General features: G+C 56.9%; 1 protein-coding gene across 1 annotated transcript, besides 11 other annotated features; it reads left to right on the top strand.

The window, feature by feature from the left end:
- Nucleotides 113-262: an enhancer, noted in NCBI's record as "active region_18223". NCBI's record gives its function as "activates an Ori minimal core promoter by ATAC-STARR-seq in GM12878 lymphoblastoid cells {active_cell/tissue: GM12878}" and the evidence as "EXISTENCE:reporter gene assay evidence [ECO:0000049][PMID:35858748]".
- Nucleotides 2,463-2,782: an enhancer, noted in NCBI's record as "active region_18222". NCBI's record gives its function as "activates an Ori minimal core promoter by ATAC-STARR-seq in GM12878 lymphoblastoid cells {active_cell/tissue: GM12878}" and the evidence as "EXISTENCE:reporter gene assay evidence [ECO:0000049][PMID:35858748]".
- Nucleotides 3,103-3,182: a silencer, noted in NCBI's record as "silent region_13143". NCBI's record gives its function as "represses an Ori minimal core promoter by ATAC-STARR-seq in GM12878 lymphoblastoid cells {active_cell/tissue: GM12878}" and the evidence as "EXISTENCE:reporter gene assay evidence [ECO:0000049][PMID:35858748]".
- Nucleotides 3,193-3,492: a silencer, noted in NCBI's record as "silent region_13142". NCBI's record gives its function as "represses an Ori minimal core promoter by ATAC-STARR-seq in GM12878 lymphoblastoid cells {active_cell/tissue: GM12878}" and the evidence as "EXISTENCE:reporter gene assay evidence [ECO:0000049][PMID:35858748]".
- Nucleotides 4,183-4,252: an enhancer, noted in NCBI's record as "active region_18221". NCBI's record gives its function as "activates an Ori minimal core promoter by ATAC-STARR-seq in GM12878 lymphoblastoid cells {active_cell/tissue: GM12878}" and the evidence as "EXISTENCE:reporter gene assay evidence [ECO:0000049][PMID:35858748]".
- Nucleotides 5,104-5,811: an enhancer, noted in NCBI's record as "H3K27ac-H3K4me1 hESC enhancer chr20:61638741-61639448 (GRCh37/hg19 assembly coordinates)". NCBI's record gives its function as "activates a minimal SCP1, AML or CMV promoter by ChIP-STARR-seq in naive H9 embryonic stem cells {active_cell/tissue: H9 hESC(naive)}" and the evidence as "EXISTENCE:reporter gene assay evidence [ECO:0000049][PMID:30033119]".
- Nucleotides 5,812-6,517: an enhancer, noted in NCBI's record as "H3K27ac-H3K4me1 hESC enhancer chr20:61638035-61638740 (GRCh37/hg19 assembly coordinates)". NCBI's record gives its function as "activates a minimal SCP1, AML or CMV promoter by ChIP-STARR-seq in naive H9 embryonic stem cells {active_cell/tissue: H9 hESC(naive)}" and the evidence as "EXISTENCE:reporter gene assay evidence [ECO:0000049][PMID:30033119]".
- On the top strand, nt 6,236-7,273 carry BHLHE23 (basic helix-loop-helix family member e23). Its single transcript, NM_080606.4, has one exon. It carries the CDS (start codon nt 6,426-6,428, stop codon nt 7,149-7,151), a length of 726 nt encoding a protein of 241 aa, NP_542173.2. The 5' UTR covers nt 6,236-6,425; the 3' UTR covers nt 7,152-7,273.
- Nucleotides 8,842-9,355: an enhancer, noted in NCBI's record as "H3K4me1 hESC enhancer chr20:61635197-61635710 (GRCh37/hg19 assembly coordinates)". NCBI's record gives its function as "activates a minimal SCP1, AML or CMV promoter by ChIP-STARR-seq in primed H9 embryonic stem cells {active_cell/tissue: H9 hESC(primed)}" and the evidence as "EXISTENCE:reporter gene assay evidence [ECO:0000049][PMID:30033119]".
- Nucleotides 12,510-13,151: an enhancer, noted in NCBI's record as "H3K4me1 hESC enhancer chr20:61631401-61632042 (GRCh37/hg19 assembly coordinates)". NCBI's record gives its function as "activates a minimal SCP1, AML or CMV promoter by ChIP-STARR-seq in naive H9 embryonic stem cells {active_cell/tissue: H9 hESC(naive)}" and the evidence as "EXISTENCE:reporter gene assay evidence [ECO:0000049][PMID:30033119]".
- Nucleotides 13,152-13,794: an enhancer, noted in NCBI's record as "H3K4me1 hESC enhancer chr20:61630758-61631400 (GRCh37/hg19 assembly coordinates)". NCBI's record gives its function as "activates a minimal SCP1, AML or CMV promoter by ChIP-STARR-seq in primed H9 embryonic stem cells {active_cell/tissue: H9 hESC(primed)}" and the evidence as "EXISTENCE:reporter gene assay evidence [ECO:0000049][PMID:30033119]".
- Nucleotides 14,309-15,073: an enhancer, noted in NCBI's record as "H3K27ac-H3K4me1 hESC enhancer chr20:61629479-61630243 (GRCh37/hg19 assembly coordinates)". NCBI's record gives its function as "activates a minimal SCP1, AML or CMV promoter by ChIP-STARR-seq in naive H9 embryonic stem cells {active_cell/tissue: H9 hESC(naive)}" and the evidence as "EXISTENCE:reporter gene assay evidence [ECO:0000049][PMID:30033119]".

Below are 20,917 nucleotides of genomic sequence, written 5' to 3'. Positions count from 1 at the left end.
AATGAATCAATTTCTAGTCCACTGTGTGAGAAGCTTGGAAACAATCAATCTTTTCACAAGAACAAAACGTGAGCAAACTGAAAGTCAATAATATTTCTTATATTCAACAGATGATGAGGTCACAGGGCAAACCACTGCCCAAAAAAGTTGTAGAGACGACAGACAGATGCAGAGAATCCCAATTCTGCAGAGCAGACACCTCCCTGGGAACCACTGCCAGGTTGGGAAAACCTAAACTGTCACTGGCAGATTGCTGGAGGCTGTGTGGCCAAGCTTGACAGTTAAAAACTCCAGGGCCCAGTCTTAGGGTGGAGGCCACACTTCTGTGAGTTTTACCTGCACAAACTCTACCAGATCCCCCAGGTAAATACCAGAGAAAAATCCCCTTGTGCTTTGGACAAGGGGAGGGGAGAAGTAGCACTTTCGAAATATGCCAGAGCATTCTGTTCTTCCTCTGCCCTCAAGAGAAACTATTTTTAACGTACCAGAGTTTAATCAGAGTCTAACCAACCTGGAGGAAGGGAAGTATCAACTCCAGCTCCCTCCAGTCTTTTATGTTGGGAAGGGAAACACACAGCCCCATTCTCTATCCCTCTTGTCTCATTTAAGAAGGAAAAACAGGATGGGCATGGTGGTTCACACCTGTAATCCCAGCACTTTGGAAGGCTGAGGCGGGTGGATCATCTGAGGTCAGGAGTTCAAGACCAGCCTGACCAACATGGAGAAACCCCGTCTCTACTAAAAATACAAAATTAGCTAGGCATGGTGGTGTGCGCCTGTAATCCCAGCTACTCAAGAGGCTGAGGCAGGAGAATCACTTGAACCCAGAAGGTGGAGGTTGCAGTGAGCCAAGATCATGCCACTGCACTCCAGCCTGGGCTACAGAGAAAGACTCCGTCTCAAAAAAAAACAAAAAAAAAACAAAAAAATGTCCAACTGAAGAAAGTGTTGAGTGAGCTTGTCATGCATTCCTACACAAAGAGTACAACCGCAATATATTCTACAATAGCAAAGCAAAATAAATAAAATCATTCCAAGTAAACTAGCTAAACAGAAAGGCTTTCCAAGAACTGGGCAGCTGTTGGAACCAAGCCAATAGAGGACTGACTGACAGCTCATCAATGGCAGAGACGTGAGCTCTAAAGCTCTCATAGCCTGGGTAATGGTCTGGAACGTAAAATCCCCACAGACTTAGGCTGGCCAGTTGACTATGCCAGGGCAACCCAGAGGTGGAGGAAAGTGGCAATTCTCCACATACCCAACCGTTTATGTGATTATGTAGACAGGCTAAAGTCTGTGCCTACTCAGTAAATAAATCACTCTCTGCATGATTCCAACTTGTGCCTAAAAGTAGAATGCCAATCCAGGTATTTATGCCCCCCATCCCTCTCATTTCTTAGGAACAGGAATCAGAGGTCACTGACTGGCTCACGGGAATAAACGGGATCAGTCTCTTGTGTTCCGTTGGCCTGTGGGGCTTTATAAGAGACAGGTTTAATTTGAGATAAGTGGACCCAGCTGTTTATTCCCAGAAGTTTAACTGTAGTTGGGGTACTAAGGAGAACTTGATAGAGTCCCCTCCACTTGGGGGGAAAGTTGATCTGCTGAGGATCCTTCCTTCCAAGTTTGCAATAGGACCCAGTCTCCCAGCTGGGTTGGAACCAGATTGTCTTCCTCAGTGGGGGAAGGGAGTCTCTGATTTCCATAGTCAAGGAGTGCGTTTTGCACTTGTCCTAAGTTGATCACATAATTCTGTAGCTTGAAAGTATCTATGTCTATTAGGAGGTCTGTAGTTAAGAAAGGCCTTCTATACATTATTTCAAAAGTGCTGAGATGCAGATTTCCCTTAGGGGCCATTCGAACCCGTAATAAGGCTACAGGTAATAAAGACCTCCAGGTTTCTGATGTCTCTTGGCATAGTTTAGCAAGAGTCCTTTTTAGAGTTTGATTAGCTCTTTCTACTTTCCCCAAAGACTGTGGCCTCCGTGCCGAGTCAAGGCGGCACTGAATTCCTAGGGCTGAAGATGTGTTTCGGGTAACTGTCGCTGTGAAAGGTGAGCCATTATCGCTCTGTAAGCTCTTAGGCAGCCCAACTCTAGGAATTATTTCCTTTAGTAGGAGTTTAGAAACCTCAATTGCCTTTTCAAACCGGGCAGTAGCGCACGCCTGTAATCCCAGCACTTTGGGAGGCCGAGGCGGGTGGATCACGAGGTCAGGAGATCGAGACCATCCTGGCTAATACGGTGAAACCCCGTCTCTAATAAAAATACAAAAAATTAGCCGGGCGTGGTAGCGGGCGCCTGTAGTCCCAGCTACTCGGGCGGCTGAGGCAGGAGAATGGCGGGAACCCGGGAGGTGGAGCTTGCAGTGAGCCGAGATCGCACCACTGCACTCCAGCCTGGGCGACAGAGCGAGACTCCGTCTCAAAAAAAAAAAAAAAAAAAGAAAAGAAAAAAAAACCACATAAAATAGTAAATGTTTGCAAGAATACGAAGAGATTGGAGCCCTTGTCCGTTGCTGTTGGAATGTACAATGGTGCAGCTGCTGTGGGAAGCAGCGTGTGGGAACCTCTGAAGACCACGTGAGAACTCCCTGAAAGAACTGAAAGCAGGGGCTGAACAGGTGCGCTCATCGCTCCCACGGGCCAAACGCTGGAAATAAACAAGATGGACGCGAACGTGCGGAGACCGCATGAGGTCATTTCCTGAGGTACTTGGAGCAGTCAAATGCAGAGGTGGGCGGCGGAGTCGTGGTTTCCAGCGGGTGGGGGAGGAGGGGAGCCGGGGTTACTGGGGACAGAGTTTCAGTTTGGGAAGATACAAACATTCTGGAGTTGGATGGGGGCGTCGGCTGCACAACACCGCGGTTGTGTACAATGCCCCTGGGCTGTGCACCTGAAAATGGTCACAACGATCAACTTCATGTGATACACATTTTGACAGAGCACATATACACACGAAAGAAAAGGTGGAGTCTTCAAATCCCAGGGCCTGGGCGTTGTCCCTAGAAGCCAAACAGTGTGGGTCCCAGGGTCGGGGCAGGGGCCTGCGGTAGGATTTCTTTCCTCCTCCCTGTTTTGATCTCTAGAAGACCCTACGTCCTGTGGAAGGGGAGCACTGAGGAGGCGCCGTCTCTGGGAGAGGCAGGGTGGGTTGTTCCAGTTACTAGCACCATTGCCCTGCAGGCAAGAAGCTGGCTGGCCCAAGACCACCCAGCGGGGGCTCCCTCCCGCTCCCCCCACCCAGCCTGACCTCCTGGTGCGCCCACTGTGCCCCACCAGACCTCCCTTCCCCAATCCCAGCAGCATGGACAGCAGTGACGCCCACAGGGTGCTCACTCGGGCCACAGCACACCCCGGTCTTTGGGCACCCCCAGGGCCAGGGCGCGGTGGGAGCCAGGGGCCGCTGCAGGGGCGGCTGCCGGCCACAGGTGCTGTCTCCTGGGAGGGCGGGGGAACCACCGGTTCAGAACAGCCCGGGACAAGTGAGTCCGCAGTTACAGACCCACTCCGCAGGGCCGTCGCTAGACCACACGTGTTGTGGACAGACCCCACTTTACAGCTGTGGAAACTGAGGCCAGAAAGGCTGAGCAGCTGGCCTGGTCAACGCCTCCGCCGCTTCGCAGCCTCCACAGCCTCTGCCCAGAGGAGGTTCGAGAAGCTGGCCAAGGTGCGGGGCTGCTTCATCGGCTGGGACCCCCGCTCAGCCCTCAACCCCCCAGGCTCACCTGCTGCTGTGCAAACTGGCAGCGTCCAACCCCAGCTCGGAGGGGCGCTCGATGGCGGAGACGGCAGGTTCCTCCAGCTCCCCTATCATGTGGGCGCCTGTGAAACAGCCCCCAGCGTCCACCTGCGCAGAATCCGGGAGGGCCTGGGAACCCGCAGTTTCGCCCCTCCCGGGCCCTCTGAGAAACACGGGTTCTGAGCCTCTGGGTGCAACTCCCAGACAGCCAGCAGGTGGCAGCGTCGCACCGAAAACGCCGCCTCTGAAGCTGGCGGGGCTGAAGCCCGGAATTCGTGGCTGGTCCCGCAGGGGCCGCAGCAGGGGCCTCACCCGGGTGCTGTTTCGTGCGCCTCACCCCTCACCCCCTGCCCATCCCTGCCTCCAACCCTCTGAGCCAAGGTCGATCGATTCTACTGAAGATTAACTGGGCCTGGGAACTGGCCCAGAGCCCTGGCTCCCTGCTGGGGAGTTCGGACCTCCCAAAGCCCCGGCCCAGCCCCAACCCCAGCCCCATGGCGTCAGCGTCTCTGGCTTTAATGGGGACCCTGCTCCAGCCGATGCTTTGAAAGCCACTCTCACCCACACCCGTGATGTCAATTACCGCGTACCCCTCAGAGGCCTCCCCACCAGCGCTGGCTGCACCTCCCCTCGGGGGCCTCCTGCATTCTCCAGCTCCATAGCTTTCCCTCCTGGTCAACCCCATCCTCCTGCTCCCCCAGCTCCGGGGACCTGTGGAGCCACCTTCCCCCATGGCCCCCACCAGCCCTGCAGTTCAGGCCCAGGAGGAGGCCCCGCAGCCCCGGACCGCACCGGCAGCAGTGCCAGAGTGGCTCTCCGAATGGCCACGGCGCCTTTCTTCCCATAAAGACCAAACTCCCCGCGTGATTCAAACTGTCCCACAGGCCTGGTCCCGCCCCTCTATCTCCTGGCCCCACCCGGGCCCCTCACTGCCCTTCCCTGTGCCAGGCCTCCTCCGGCCACCTGAATGCTCCCCCGACCCCGGCCCGTGGCCACAATGACACCCACTCACCCTTCAGACCCAGGCCCAAACACAGCGGCCTCCTCCACACCAGGTATCCTCAATTCCCGGTCTGTGCATCAGCCCCGAAGGCGGGGTGGGGTCCCAGGACAGCGCCTCAGACAGACGCTTCCATCCTCGGGGCCCCTGCGCTCCTGGCGGGCGTGTGCTGGGGGTGAGGCCGGTGCTGCAGGACGCGCAGCCAGACAGGCCGCCAGCCCGGCAGAGGCTGCCTCAGACCCATTCCCCTCCGCCAGGACAAAGGCCTGAGTTTCCCACGGAGACTTATCCATGCATCTGTCTCCTCACACCCCGCACCTGGCAGGGAACCACCGGACAGGCCGGTCACTGCTGCGTTCCCAGAACCTTCCAGACAGCACATCCGCCCCACACACGTGCAGCTCCCACTCCCCTCCCGGGGCTGCGCACACTGCCCCATCGCTGTGGCTCCTCCTGGGGCGGAGCCTGGAGAACAGGGAGGGTATGCGGCCCTTCCCAGGTCACACAGAAGGGCCCGACGGGCCGCTCCACCTCGTGCCATAGGCCAGGGTGGCCCAGTCTCCCACCCAAGCCAGGACCGGAGAAGCCACTATCCCTCAGCACACTCTAGCCTCAGCACTCGGCCGGGCCTCCAGGCAGGTTCCCACCTGGGAGAAGGGCTGGGGTTCTGGCCTTCATGCGGGGTTGGAAGAGGACTGAAAAGGCGAGTCCGAGGCTGGCCACATTCCCATCCAGTGTGGCTGGACCCCAGGGGTTCGGAGGCTCCGGGAAAGCCCACCAAGCCTCACGCGTTTCGCTGATAGATGCCCAGGAAGCGGCTGGCAGGGAAGAGGCGGTCCTGCAGCTCACAGAGCTCCCCTCCCACCCCCGGGGAGCCCCAGGCCGCGCTGCCCTCCACCTTCCCGCCCTCCCCGGCCTGCAACGCTCGTGGCGTTTTTCAACAGGTTCTAGAAACTCCCTCTCACTCTGCCCCTCAAGCCTGGCCACAGGGCGCCCCGAGCAGGGAGTGTGCGGGCTCCGGGTACACGCTGCGCCGCGGCTGCACCAGAGCGCCCACGACCCTGACCCCGACCCGAAGCGGCCCCTCAGCGGGACAGGGTGTTGGCGCTGGCGCTGCTGCTATTGCGGCGCGCCCCCCCGCTCTGGCCCCTGCGTGTCGCCAGGGACTCTTGCGCTAGGGTCAGACTCAAAGACGGACCGAGGCGGGTGCCCACCTGGGACGCGTGCGTTTGGTGGCGGAATCCCCGGGGCGGCCGGAGGCGGCGGCCGGGGAGTCGAGAAGCAAGTACTAGCGCTCCAGGACCGCGCGCGCCGCCCCGCGCCGCCCCGCGCCGCCCCTCGGTCCAGAGCCCCCACCCCCGGCCTGTGAGCCTGCGGCGCTGGTGGAGCCCGGCTCCAGGAAGAGGAGCTCACCCGGTCCCCCCTGATTGGACAGCAGCGAGGTCCCACCGGGCGCCTCCGCGGCTTAAAACCGAAGCGGGGGCGAGGGGGAGGTAGAGCCCGCCCCCTGCGCGTCGCGGCTGGGAGGGAGAGGAGGTGGGAGAGAAGGAAGAGGCGGAGGAGGCAGCGGGCGCCGAGGCTCTGGGACCCGCAGGCAAGCCAGACCGACGCGCAGAGCCGGGAGCCTCATCGCAGCGGCAGCGGCAGCGGCGGGCTCGGGCCGGCCTCGGGGGCTGCTCACCCACATGAGCATCCGCCCACCCGGCGAGCCCCCGAGCCCAGGCGGCGCGGCCATGGCCGAGCTCAAGTCGCTGTCGGGGGACGCGTACCTGGCACTAAGCCACGGCTACGCGGCGGCGGCTGCGGGTCTCGCCTACGGGGCGGCGCGAGAACCCGAAGCGGCCCGCGGCTACGGCACTCCGGGCCCGGGCGGCGACCTCCCCGCGGCGCCTGCACCTCGCGCCCCAGCTCAGGCGGCGGAGAGCAGCGGCGAACAGAGCGGGGACGAGGACGACGCCTTCGAGCAGCGGCGGCGGCGGCGCGGGCCAGGGAGCGCGGCGGACGGGCGGCGGCGGCCGCGAGAGCAGCGGTCTCTGCGGCTCAGCATCAACGCGCGCGAGCGGCGGCGCATGCACGACCTAAACGACGCGCTGGACGGGCTGCGAGCCGTCATCCCCTACGCGCACAGCCCGTCGGTGCGCAAGCTCTCCAAGATCGCCACGCTGCTGCTCGCCAAGAACTATATCCTCATGCAGGCGCAGGCCCTGGACGAGATGCGGCGCCTGGTGGCCTTCCTCAACCAGGGCCAGGGCCTGGCCGCGCCCGTAAACGCCGCGCCCTTGACGCCCTTCGGCCAGGCCACTGTGTGCCCCTTCTCCGCAGGCGCCGCCCTGGGGCCCTGCCCTGACAAGTGCGCCGCCTTCTCCGGGACGCCCTCCGCGCTTTGCAAACACTGTCACGAGAAGCCGTGACCGCGCGGGCCCCCGGCCCTCCCGCACGCGTCCTCCGATCGCCCCTGTGACTGTCTCTCTGCCCGGACAGGAAAGGCCTGGAGGGACCCTGCAGACCAGGAGGAGGGGGCCCGACTTCGCTTCCAGCCTGTGCGCGGTGGACAGTTTAGCGCAGCGGGAAGCGCCAAGGCCGTCGGGGCGCGGGATTGAGCTCGAGAGCCGGACGCTGGACTCTGCGCCCGGGAACTCGCGGCACCCACTGGGTATTGTCGGGACCCAGCAAGTCTAGGAACGGGGGTGGGTAGAGCATCCTTCGGGCACTGCCGTTCGTCCCCAAAAGAAGACCACCGCGGGGTCCCAGGGCCACGGCGAGGACGGGCACTGGTCAGATTCCGGACAGGCGGTCCTGGCCCCGGGCGCACGAAAGGTGGAGACGAAGAAAAGCCGGACTTACTGGCTCCTGATCCTCTTGCAGTGGGCCTCGCGCTCCCGCTCCAGCCGGCCCTTCGTGCTAAACTGCAGGGCAGTGCTCTGTTCCTGAGGACGCGCGTGGCCGGCACCTCCCACCTCGGTGACTCCGAGACTCCGCAGCCCTGCGGAGAGCCCACGATGGCCGTCTGCAGAGGAGCTGGACCGCGGGCGCAGGAAGACCCCGGGGAAGGCCTTTTCCAAGTAGGAGTTTGTTCTATTTATTTGGGAATTGGACGCCGTCGCCGGCTGCCTCGAAGTCTGAGGAATTTGTCCCCTAAATGTCCCCTGGCCTCCCCCCCCCGCCGCCATCCGCTGCCTGGGACGTCCGCGGGGTGGAGTTGGATGGAGACCGCTTTGCGGGCCCTCTGCCTCGGGGGGCTGCGTGGAGGAGGGTCCTCACAGCCCGCGCCCTACTTAACCCTGACGGTCAGGGGAGGGCCCCGTCTAGCCCTGGTGTCCAGCAAACCCCCTCCCCACCGATCCCCTCTCCCTTCCGAGGGAGGAGGCCGGGCTACGGGTGAGTAAGCTGCTGCGGGCCCCGTGCCCCGCCGGGTGTGAACGGAGATGCGCTGCGCAGTGCCCGTCCTGCGCAGCTCCCAGCTCTGCCACCATCCGGGATCCAGGGAGCCGGGCAGGGTGCCCCCGGGGACCCATCTGTCCGCGCCGGTTTGCGCCCCGCGGCCCCGCCGCAGTATCCGGCTTTATTAACCCAATTTCCTCGGCTGTCGGTAATGCCAAGGGGAGAGGGCCGCCGCCCTGCAACGCGCCTGTCTACAGCGTTTAACTCTGATTAATACATTCCACAGGGCCTTCTGTACTTGCAAAATCAAGTGTATGGTTAAGTCTTATTCATAAAGACATATGCCTAATACTGGTTTCTGCTAATTTCCACTTTTATTTCTTCATTGTCTTTTTTTTTTCCCCTAACAGACTAGTTTATCAGTTTTGCACATTCGAAAAGCTGAGTGCCAGACACCGTTTTTCCCCTTTTAGATAAAGTGGGAAAGCTGGAAACTCAAATGCCCTTCACTTCTAGGGTCATTTCAACGTGATCTTAAATAAATTACCTGCTTATCAGAATTTGAAACAGGGGTGTTTATTCTGGTTAAAATCAGAGACATTGGTACATCATTTATATTCAGAATAAAGCATTTTATTGCCATTTATTTTATAAAAATAATATGGTTAAATTTTAATATCAAGTGAAATAGTGTTCATTTGTAGCTGAATTCACAATAATTTCAATTTTCAGATACTTGTGTCCACTCGAAACCAGAGTCTGAAGAGTCTCTGAGATGCTAAAACTCATCTAAAAGCAACCACTTATTATAGCACATGTGTGAAATCATAAGGAAAAGGGCAGAGGAAAAAAATCTCTCTTTCTCTCTTTGGGTGGAGAATAAGTTTTTGAAAAAACCACTTCACTAATCAAAAATTCTTCCGATTACTTAATTTAAATAAAAATTCAAGTTACATTTAAACTTTTTTGTACATGACAAAGCTGTGTGTCTACTGTTCTACAAACGTCTGCATGCTTCTCACTTGGCCTGAGTGGAGTGGAGTGTTTCGGAGAATTAGCTCGCCTTCTCTGCAGTGGCTGCTCGCGAAGCCACCTGGGCAATCACAGTGTCATCTGGCCTTTCTCAGATTTGCCCAAGGATCTTCTCATTCCAAGACAGCCCTCCACGGCCTGTGTGCCCACATCTGGCAAACAGCAAAGCAGAACCCACGTGGGTGCCTGTGCAAGCCCGTGGCTCCCGAGAAACGTGGGGGGCTGCTCGTCTTTTCTCTGACGGCTGTGCTCCTGCAGGTGTGTTGAGAATGGCTGGGGATCACCGGGAAAGAACTTCACCGTCACCACCCACCAGGAGCCACCCTTCCCCCAACACTCAGGGAGGAACCAAACACGAAAGAGCTTTGCTTCCAGCTGAGCTTTTCAAGACGCTCACTGTGTTGTTTTGTTTTGTTTTGTTTTTTAAGACAGAGTCTCGCTCCATCACGGAGGCTGGAGTGCAGTGGCACCATCTTGGCTTGGCTCACTGCAGCCTCTGCCTTCCGGATTTAAGCGATTCTTCTGCCTCAGCCTCCCTAGTAGGTGGGACTACAGATGTGCGCCACCACGCCTGGCTAATTTTTGTATTTTTTTGTAGAGATGGGGCTTCATCATGTTGGCCAGGCTGGTCTTGAACTCCTAACCTCAAGTGATCTGCCTGCCTCGGCCTCCCAAGTGCTGGGATTATAGGCTGAGCCACCACGTCTGGCTAAGATGCTCACCTTTAGATTCCTTCTAGGTAGAGATGTGCAGGCTGTGGGAGGTGGGAGGCAGCGTCCCCAGAACCGAGGTGTTCACACCACCCCGTGACCAGTGTTGCTGTAGGGAGAGAACGTGGTCATGTGTAGAATTTTACATTTTCAAGTGGCCATATTAAAAAAGGAAATAGAAGCAGATGAAATTATTTTTATTGATAACTTAATACTTATCCCAATACATCCAAAATATCATTTCAGTGTGTCATCCATATTTAAAGTTATTCGATATTTTACTTTCCTGGCACTAAGTCTTCAAGTTCCAGCATGTGTTTAAAGCCCAGCTCAGTTCATACCAGCCATGTTCCAATGCGTTTCAGTGCTCAGTGGCCACGCGTGGTTTGGCAGCCTCGGGTTTTGCAGCTCTCGGCCGTGAAAACACCAAGCACGCAAAGTACTCCTTGCTTCTTTCTCTTTGTTTAATAATAACCAGGAAATGCCTATGGACTTAAGGAGTCCATTCTAGAGCTGGGCAAATAGGAAATGTCCCATCCTTGTTTCTTTTCCAATCCTGATTCATCGAGCCTTTCTCCGGAGTGCGGGCTGGGGCTGGGGCTGTGGCTGGGGCCTGGGCCGGCAGCAGGAAAGGCAGAGGCTGTGCCCACTGAGTCACTGGGTCCACATGCCCCTCCAGCCTCACACGCGCCAACCACACCCAAGCCTAGGAAACGGGAGAAAGCGGATTACAAGGCCACAGAGTAAAGGTGTGGGCCCTGCTGGCTGCTGCTTGAGCGACTCACAGATCAAGACCTGTTCTTTTTTTTTTTTTTTTTGAGACGGAGTCTCACTCCGTTGCCCAGGCTGAAGTGCAGTGGTGCGATATCTGCTCGCTGCAACTTCTGCCTCCTGGGTTCAAGCTGTTCTTCTGCCTCAGCCTCCTGAGTAACTGAGATTATAGACGAGCGCCACCACGCTCAGCTAATTTGTTTTTCGTAGAGACGGTGTTTTCCTATGTTGCCCAGGCTGGTCTTGAACTCCTGAGTGATCCACTTGCCTCAGCCTCCCAAAGTGCTGGGATTACAGGCGTGAACCACCACGTCTGGCCAAGACCCATTCTCTTGATGGCTTGGCCTCTCTTTGGAAACGAGTTTTGTGAAGCTTAGTTTGTGGGAGCTTGGGGCAGGCTTCTCCGAGCCCAGTGGCTCTGTAAGGGTCCCTCGTGCGGTCAGGAGATGCAGGTTGCCTGACCTAGGTCCCACTCTTGTCTTCATGCACTGATGGCCATGCCTGCTTCCTTGCTCCCCAGGGACTCTCCAGCTTGCTGGGTAAAAATAGAGGGCCCAGCAGGTTAGAAAACAAATGTGGGGTTCACAAGGCCTCTCCTTTTTTCTTTTTTCTTTTCTTTTTTTTTTTTTTTTGAGACAGAGTCTTGCTCTATCGCCCAGGCTGGAGTGCAGTGGCGCGATCTCGGCTCACTGCAACCTCCACCTCCCAGGTTCAAGCAATTCTCCTGCCTCAGCATCCTGAGTAGCTGAGATTACAGGCGCCCGCCACCACGCCCAGCTAATTTTTTTGTATTTTTAGTAGAGACGGGGTTTCACCATGTTGGTCAGGCTGGTCTCGAACCCCTGACCTCATGATCCACCCACCTCGGCCTCCCAAAGTGCTGGGATTATAGGCGTGAGCCACCGTGCCTGGCCTTTCATTTCTTAAAGAGACAGACACTTCTCCTGCATCTCCACGCGTTTGGATGCCCTGTGGTCAGCGTACCTCAGACAAGGCAGCCCTTAACACGCACTTTCCTGCCTGAAACCAAGCTGCCAAGGACTTTCCCACCCCTGGGTGAGGCACTGTGGCCCGAGCACTTTTGGTTCCGCTGGTGCCTGGTATATGTTACAAAGAGCTTTGCTTCCCCCAGTTAAGAAATTCACTCACCTACAACTGCATCCCCGGTTTTCAGTAACAGGCGCTCGGCCTCCTATGTCAGGGCAAAACTGCCCCAGCTTCACCTCCACCCTAGGGCCTGTCTGGTGCCACTGGGTCCATCCGGCCCACAGCAGTTCATGGGCAGACCCTGGTTGACCAGGCACGCTGGCTTCCAGCAGCTCCTTTTAGCTGATAATTTCATCCCAACAATGGGATTTGTTTTCATGTGCGCAGCTGTCACTAGACTCATTGGGGAACTTTGTTTTACCTTATGGTTAAGTCAATGCCCAGCCGCTTGCTTTACAGACGCTTACTTTACCAAATGCGCGTGTCTGTTTCCCTTGCAGGATGGGAACAGGAGAAGAAGAGGCACCTCTTCGTAAAGGACAAACACCGTTCTCCTAAGAGGATGGGTGAAATGCACAAACCGTCTCCAACCCCCAAGCCACTCTGGTTTCACCATCGCTCTCCAAAAGACTTCCTGATGGAACCAGCCACCAGAGGCTCCTAAACCCTGGTTAATCCAGCAGAGAATGATTACAGCAATTTTCTAATGTGAATTTGTTTGTGGTATGTTTTTAGTCTTTAATCGCTTTTGGCATCCCATTTGAAGAGATAGAAATAGAGGATTTGTGATGTATTAAATTATTTCTCCAACAATTACCTCTTTGAACTCATAACCCTGGATACTGTGTTCCAATACTCCAACCAAAGTCTGTTTCATAAAATTAGGAAGTTGATATGCATTTGCAAATTTAATCCCAAAGGGACAAAACCTGTGCTACCCCGAACGCAGAAAAGGTTCAAACAGTTAGCAAAGTCACCTTTGATTCAACTGTTTTATTTGCTGTAAAAAGTGATTTATGCTGTATTATTTCCAGTCTGACGTGCCTGAGGCATCTTTACTCACATAAATGTATAAAAGCTGTTGTGTAGTAGCTGAATGGAAAGACGGTCAGAATTATCCTTGAAGTTAACGTAAGAGGAGGAGCCCCTCTGAGGGGCATGCATGGAAGGGGGTCTCTGAGCACACCGCACACCGCCGTGGCCTCTCCTGTCTCTGTCCTTCCCTGGTGTGTCTTTGCCCAGGCATCTGTGGGCATCCTCCGAGAGCCACCCTTGCAGGCAAGCGGCCTCTGTGGCTGTGCGTTTCTGGGGGCCATGGTGGTCGGAAACAGCGCAGAGTGCGCACGAGCCTGCCAATGGTCTCTGTTGCCCGAGACACACAGCGCCACCATGCATGCCTGCCCCACCCGGGGCCCCTGGGGACAGGACCATGATCTTGGCTAAAGTGCTCCTCAGAAAATGTCTGCACCTCTTCCTAGCCAGCCTCGTTTTGCCTCCAAGCTGGGTTTTGTTAAAAGTAATGAGCCCACAGTCAGTTGCTGTCCCGGGAACCCCTGATTGGCCCTGACGGGGGGCCAATCTCCCCGTGCACGTGGACGGCCCTTGCTGTCCTAATGAGGCCTCCACCAGTCCAGATCTGTGGCCGCAAACCCCGAGACACAGACAGGACCCACGATGCTGTCTGATGGCCACAAGGCATCTGACAGGATGCATTTTTGTCGCCGTCATCCACAGCCTCTGTGTGCTCTCGGCGTCTGGAGCTGCTTCTGGCCCCCAGCACTTCCTGCTTTCCGACCACGGATGACACCAAAGTTACCAAAGTTACAGGGTCAAACCGTCTCTGCATTTCATGCACGGAAATAAAACCATCCTCCACAGCCCAGCAGACTCCTGGGGCATTGCGTCCCGGTGGGTCCACGTAATGCAAACCGGTGAGAGACTCGTCACAAGGGTGTTCAGTACATGAACACACCCACAGCTTTAGGGACTGGGATTCAGAAACCCACCGACTATGAACCAGTGAATGCCAACAGGCCCATGCTGCTGGTGGAAGAAACGGAGGGGAGAAGCTTATTCTCCTCCAGACCCCACACCAACCAAGCCCCTGAGCAGAACCATCCCACCTGCCGGAGAGTGTCCCCACGGCCCTGAGCCGAGAAGTCAGTGACACCTGCTGGAGAGAGTCCCCACGGCCCTGAGCTGAGAAGTCGGTGAAGCCCTCGCTTTCATTCCAAGCACCATAGACAAACGGGAAGATGTTGATTTCACATTCAGGAATCTGGGTTTCCAAAATAAGCGTCTTCACCTGCTGCCGGGAAGAGACGAGCACTCCCCTGCTTTTACCCTGGATCCGCCCTCAGGGTGGTAGCATCAGCGGTGTGTCCAGAATGAGCAGATGCATCCAAAGCCGTCTGCTCTCCTGCCTTCTACCTTAGCAGCTTCCAGGGCACTAACAGAAGGAAAAGCACTAGGCTCGCCCTCCCCTCTTCCCTCTCCCCTTCCCCTCCCCACTCCTCCTCCTCCTTCAAGGCTCTCTGCAGAAGATGGGGTGCTTCTGCAGTGCACCCCCTCTTGTCTGGGTAGCTCTGCTCCCCTAACCATCAACCCATGCTTTTAAAAATATCCCAAATGTATAGCAGGTCTCAAGCCCCTGGTCACCTCCCCCAGCCCAGGTAGGTGCTGGTTTCGTCCGGCTTGGGGAAGGCCTGGCGGGTCTGGAAAGGAAAGACTGGCCCTGGTGGGGCAACTGAGCGCCTGTCGTCACCCTAGTCTTGAGACAGGCAGACATCAGATGGGGGCAAAAATTATCTCTGCCCAAGTGTGTTACCCAAACTTGTGTTTGTGTGTGCTATATGTGTGTGTCCATGTGGTGTGCCTGTGTGGACACGTGCATATATGATGTGTGTGTGCATGTGTCCATATGTGGTGTGTGTGCGTGTGTGTGCATTTGTGTGGTTTGTGTGTATGTGTGTGGGGGGTGTGCATGTGTGTGGATATGTGTGGTGTGTGTGCATGCATGGGGGGTGCATATGTGTGGTGTGTGCATATGTGTGCATATGTGGGGGGTGTACATGCATGTGGGGTGTGTGCATATGTGGGGTGTGTGTGCATGCATGTGGGGGATGTGCGCATGTGTTTGGCATGTGTGTGCATACACGGGGGTGTGCATTTGTATGCATATGTGTGGTGTGTATGCATGCATGTGGGGTGCGTGCATGTGTATGCATATATGAGCATGTTTGTGGTGCGATGCTGCATACAGCTCTCTTTCTGTGTGGGTTTCCAGCCCCCTCGCCTTCGTCCTGTTACAGCACAACTCTGACCTGCCAGGACAGCCCTGCTGCCCCCACGTCCCTCCACCTCCAGCCCTGAGAGATCTCTGGGGCCCTCCTTCCCTTTCTGTCGAGTTTGCCTTGTGTGTTTCACCGAGGTGAGACGTGAGCCACCATTCCAATTCCCAGGACACAGCCCTTTCTGTCTTTCTTAAACCCTGGAAAGCCCTGGCAAACACGATGAGTTGGGTGTCCCAGAGGTCAGGCCCTGTAACCCTTTCTGGAAGGAGAAGAGAGAGTTGGAGCGTGGGAGGTTCCCGGGCTGTCCCCAACTCTGAGTGCACCCGGCTTCCCCGTGCTTCTCCTGTGCGCGTCGGAGGGGTGAGCATAGAGAGGGAGGGAAAGCCGGGGGCAGGCCAGCGCTTCCTCATTGCCCAGCAGGAAGGCTGCATGGCATCCAGGGCACACCCCACTCGCAGACGTCACAGCCAGAGGCACGTGTAGCCTCCCTGAACCCAGACACAGGAGGGCAAGGAGAAGGGAGCGCCAGGGAGGATGACGGCCTGTCCTCAGTGTGGGGGTCCTTCGGCCATGGTTCCCTTCAGGCTTTCTCCCCCCAGGGAGGGAAACTGGAGTGAGACTGAGTCACAACAGGGCCAGGGCAGGGAGGGGCCAGAGTTAGGGGCTGCGGCTGTTTCCTCCTGAAATCGAGGACTCCCACCGCAGGCATGCAAGGCGAAGACCACACCCGGCCTCAGGTCCCTCCAGGGCAGGCTTTGCTATCAAATGAGTGTTTTTTTTAACATTTCCATTTTCAGAGCCTTTTGAAATGGAGGCTGTGGACTTGAGACAACAGGCCTGTGGGATTCCATTGACCATTGACCATTTTTTCAGAAGGAGAAACCGAGGCTGGGGGAGAAGGTTACTCTTTCCAAAGCACCAAAGCTCAGATTTAAAACTTGACTGTCAGGCTGGGCGCAGTGGCTCACACCTGTAATCCCAGCACTTTGGGAGGCCAAGGCAGGCAGATCACCTGAGGTCAGGAATTCGAGACCAGCCTGGCCAACATGGCGAAACCTAGTCTCTACTAAAAATACAAGAAAAAAATTAGCCGGGCATAGTGTGCACCCATATCCCAGCTACTCTGGAGGCTGAGGCAGGAGAGTCGCTTGAACCAGGGAGGCGGTGGTTGCGGTAAGCCGAGATCGTGCCACTGCACTCCAGCCTGGGTGACAAAGCAAGACTTCATCTCAAAAAAAAATTAAAAATAAAGTAAAAGAAAATAAAACTTTACTATCAGCCCCTGAGACCACAGCTGTGCCCACTGTGAGCATCGCCCCAAGACGCAGTGTAGAGATGTGGCCCGAGACCAAAGAGCATCTCGTGGCTGTGGCTCGGAGAAAATGGGTGTCAGCCCAGGAGAAACGCCTGAGCCTTCGTGGCTGTGGCTCGGAGAAAATGGGTGTCAGCCCAGGAGAAACTCCTGAGCCTCACCCAGGGTGGGGTCACCCCTGCCTCATGGCTGTTCCAGAAGGTGGGCGAGAGCCACTGCGCCCGGCCAACGGTCAGCACCTTTCAGTGAGCATGGGTGTAGCAAGTCAGCTCTGACTTTCTGCTTAATGAGGCTTAAAAGGTAACTTTGAGGAGACATGGCTCCCCCAGACCTGCTGGTTATCAGTGAGGGACCCGTCTCCCGCACAGGTGGTGGTGATGCTGTGGCTAATTGATATTGTGTGGGATTGCAGCTGTGGGGACAGAGGAGGGGACAGGGGACAGATGGACTCTCCAGGATGCAGTGTCACTAAGCAGCCTCTGTACAGCCTGCAGCAACAAAATGTGTTGTGGAAAGAGGACGCTCCCCACGCCTTGCCCCCATCATGTAGTTGAACAGGTGTTTCCAAAATAATTACAAATGAACAGACGCGCTCAGAGGCTGGTGTGCTGGGGAGGGAGGGGCGTGTCCAGGGCCCTGCTGTGGTCCAGACACACTGCCCCACAGGCTGAGGGTGAGGTCTCCGCCCGGGCTCCGACCTCGGCACTGTGTCCCTGTCCTTGGCAAACTCCACGCCAGGTGGCCAGCTGAGGTCTGCACCTGCAGGCTGGGCCCCCGCTCCCCTCGCCCATCCGGCCACCTTCTCTGCTGGGGAGTGACCGTCATTGAGCTGCGTCCTGAGGATTAAGGGGGGGCCTCCCCACTCCAGGCCCGCATGGTCACTGCATCAGGGTCAGCTGCAGTCCCACAGACGCAGCAGCCTCCAGCTGGACCTGAGTCACGCGGCTCCACGCCACATGGGGGTGACACAGGCACCACAGCCCTTCACTAGAGAGCGGCAGCCGGAAGGGGCAGGTGCGGCCAGTTCTCTGCCTGAAGAGCCTGCAGTGGAGGAAACGTGGAGCTCACCGTGGTAACCATTTCTAAGTGTATAGTTCGGTGACATGAAGGACATGTAGTGTAGTGCAGCCAGCGTCACTCTCCATGTCCAGGACTTTGCTATGATTTGATCGTTTGTCTCGTAAATTGAGGTGTAATGTATGTACGGTGACATTCACCCTTCTGAAACACCACGGCCACACGGCCCCCACCACAGTCGAGACAGAGAACACTGCATCACCCCACAGGTCCTGCTGTGGTCCCTGCCCTGTGCCCCTGTGACCCCTGGCCTGTGTTCTGTCCTGAGTTCTGCCTTTTCCAGAATGTCTCATAAACGGAGTCACCGGACTGGGGCCTTCAAGTCTGTCTTCCTTCCCTCCCTGTGCCCTAGACTGTCAGCACTAACGTGGCTGCACTGGGGGGTTGAGGAGCTGCAGGAGGTGTTTCTGTAAATCCTGGAGTGGGCCAGGCCGGGAGTTGCTGTCATTCTTATTCTGCTGCCCCACAGGGGCCCTCACTGAAGCTCTGAAAGTCGTATACCGCCTTGATTTTTGCAGGAGGAGCCCTGCGTGAGCCTCTGGATGTGAAAGAGACGTTTGGGGAATGAAGTGATCGGCCCGGCCTTAATCTTGCTGGAAAGATCCATGGACCTGTGTCAAGATCCTGCCTGCAGTTCTGCGGCACACGGAGAATCCGCAGTGCGATGCGTGCTTGGCAGCCCTTCGGAAGCAGCCCAGCTGTCTCCCACAGTTCCAGAAACACTTCTCCAGATTCCAGCCACAGCACAGCACACCGGGCGCCGGGTTGACAGGGTGGAGACAGGCAAGGGGAATGAGTTGGCCAGGCACGCACGGGCGAAGGGAAGGCTGCGTGGTGTGGAAAGGCCTGGGGCAGCTGGGGGCTCAGGCCCTTGCAGGACTGACGGATTGAAACAGCAGCAATGGTCTGGAGGGGACGCCAGGGAGGCCCCTGTGAGCTCAGCCCGCAGGGCTGCCGCTACGCTGCCTGTCACTTGGCATTAACCTGGAGACGTCCCCAGCCCTGACTACAAACACTGCAGAATATAAACCAGTCACGAAAGGCCCACGCGATCTTGCAACGAACCAGCAAATGAGAAAGGACCAGACTAGCAGCTCCTGAGATGGAACAGGCTCGGCCAGAGACACGCTTTACCGTCCTTTGTCTCTAGAAGGTGGAACATGGCGGGTGGGTTTTCCTACTCAGATCTCGTCTCAACTTTTTTCTCTTTCACGCCTTGATGGACAGGCCTTTAATAGACAAGCCAGGTTTAGGGTGCTTCCACCAGGGGAAGTCATGATGTCAGGACGTCAGCACCCCAAACGGAGCCTGGTGCATTGCTCCCAGCCACCTCCCAGGCCAGGCCCAGACAGCGGGGCTGTCTCCACAAGCCCGCGTTCCTAATCCCCCTCTAGGCAGCTCAGTTATCTGTCGGGCACTGTGGGATGTTATGGATGAGCTATGATTATATATTCCCCGTAACACCCTAAGTCAATCTTCGCAATTTTCATTTTGCCGAGACTTAATGTAGATTGTGCCCTGTTGTTGACTCCCATTTTAATCCAAAATCGCTCATTAAATGGAGACCAGCAGGCGTCGGTGGGCGAGGCCTGTGGGCTGAGCCTTGGCCGAGAGAGACCAGAGCAAGTTCCAGATGGACAGAAGCAGCTGCCCTCGTTACGTGCTGGGCGCTAATCTGAAACGCTGACCCGCTCCTCTGCACATTACAGTTATTAAATGCAACCAAAATTCCAGGGATGACGTGGTCCCTGGATGCCTCTGGACCAGGAGCCTGCCTGGGGCTGCACTCCTGCCTCAGAACCTCAGCGGGAGGAGGACAGGCAGCTCCGCACAGAAGCGGCGGTCTGGCCCCCAGGGTCTACTACAGGCAAAGGCCCCCCACTCGGTGCCCACGGACAAAGCCCACCTGGAAACCCCTGGGATTCCCTGCCCACCTGGCCGAACACGCCCAGCTGGGGTGCCAGATTCAAAAACAGTGACTAGGTCCCAAGTATTGCATGGGGCATATTTACCCTACAAATGTATTTCTAGTTATCTGAAACTCAAAGTTAACTGGGGGCATCCTGTGTCCTTACTTGCTACATCTGGCCACCCTCCCCTGCCTCCCAGCCTCCCCTGCCTCCCAGCCTCCCCTGCCTCCCAGCCTCTCCTGCTCCCAGCCTCTCCTGCCTCCCAGCCTCCCCTGCCTCCCAGCCTCTCCTGCTCCCAGCCTCTCCTGCCTCCCAGCCTCTCCTGCCTCCCAGCCTCCCCTGCCTCCCAGCCTCTCCTGCTCCCAGCCTCCCCACCTCCAAGCCTCCCCGCCTCCCAGCCTCCCCTGCCTCCCACCCTCCCCTGCCTCCCAGCCTCCCCTGCCTCCCAGCCTCCCCTGCCTCCCAGCCTCCCCTGCCTCCAAGCCTCCCCTGCCTCCCAGCCTCCCCTGCTCCCAGCCTCTCCTGCCTCCCAGCCTCTCATGCTCCCAGCCTCCCCACCTCCAAGCCTCCCCTGCCTCCCAGCCTCCCTGCCTCCCAGCCTCCCCTGCCTCCCAGCCTCCTCTGCTCCCAGCCTCCCCTGCCTCCCAGCCTCTGCCTGCCTCCCAGGCTCCCCTGCTCCCAGCCTCCCCCGCCACACTAACCAGGTAAAATCCTGCAGCTGCCAGCACCTTAAATGTGGTTGCAGTTATTAAATGCCACCAAAGTTCCAGGGCTGACCCTGCCCTGCGGCCCTTCCTCCAAAGGATGCTGTAAACACCTTTCCAGTGAGTTTCCTGGGGGCAGGACTGGCTACAGAATTTGCAGTCCCAGCACAAAATGAAAATATGGGGCCCTTGTTCCAAAACTGTTAAAGATTTCAATATGGCAACTTCGGAGAATTAAACCAAGCAGAGGTCCCTTCTCATCACAGGGCCCTGGGCAGCTGCTCAGGTCACGCACGGTGAAGCCAGCCATGCCTGGGGAGGGGAGGGGTGTACCTCACACCCCAGTCAAGCAGCACAGCAAGCTAGGCCCACGACAGACCCACTTCTTAGCGCCCTCCTCTTCCTCCATCCCTCTTGGCCCCTTCATCCCAGTACCCGACGGTCACATCCATACACGTGTGCACACGTCTGCACACACACCCAGGAGCACACACTTCCACACTTCCACCTGGAGACTGCTGCCTGTGTGGGAGGTGGAGACAGGCCTGGTTTAGCTGCTGCTGCCCTCGCTCCCGTCCGTGGAACACAGTCTGTCCAATCTCCATTTGGAGAGGAGATGGCCAGTTTCTATCTCATGGGAGAGGCATGGGTTTCCCTGTGGGTTCTGTCCCTCAGCACGGGCAGGCCAGAGCATGAGTCGGAGCACTGCTGTGCACACAGGTGACATGGCCCCATCTGTCTTCACATCACCTTCTCCTCTGTGTGCGTTCGTCCCCAAACTCCCCTGCCTCTCTCTTCTAAGGATGCATGCAGGCCAGGTGTGGTGTTACACACCTGTGGTCCCAGCTACTCAGGAGACTGAGGTAGGAGGATCGCCTGAGCCCGGGGGTGTTCGGCTGCAGCAAGTGAGCTACGATGGAGCCACTGCATTCCAGCCTGGGCAACAGAGCAAGACCCTGTCTCAAAAAAAAAAAAAAAAAAAAAAAAAAAAGGATGTATG

This window comes from Homo sapiens, chromosome 20 (genome assembly GCF_000001405.40).
Source record: "Homo sapiens chromosome 20, GRCh38.p14 Primary Assembly".
In the NCBI taxonomy this organism is placed as follows: Eukaryota; Metazoa; Chordata; class Mammalia; order Primates; family Hominidae; genus Homo; species Homo sapiens.
The sequence above is the reverse complement of the archived record's forward strand: the minus strand, read 5'-3'. Positions and strand labels throughout refer to the sequence as shown.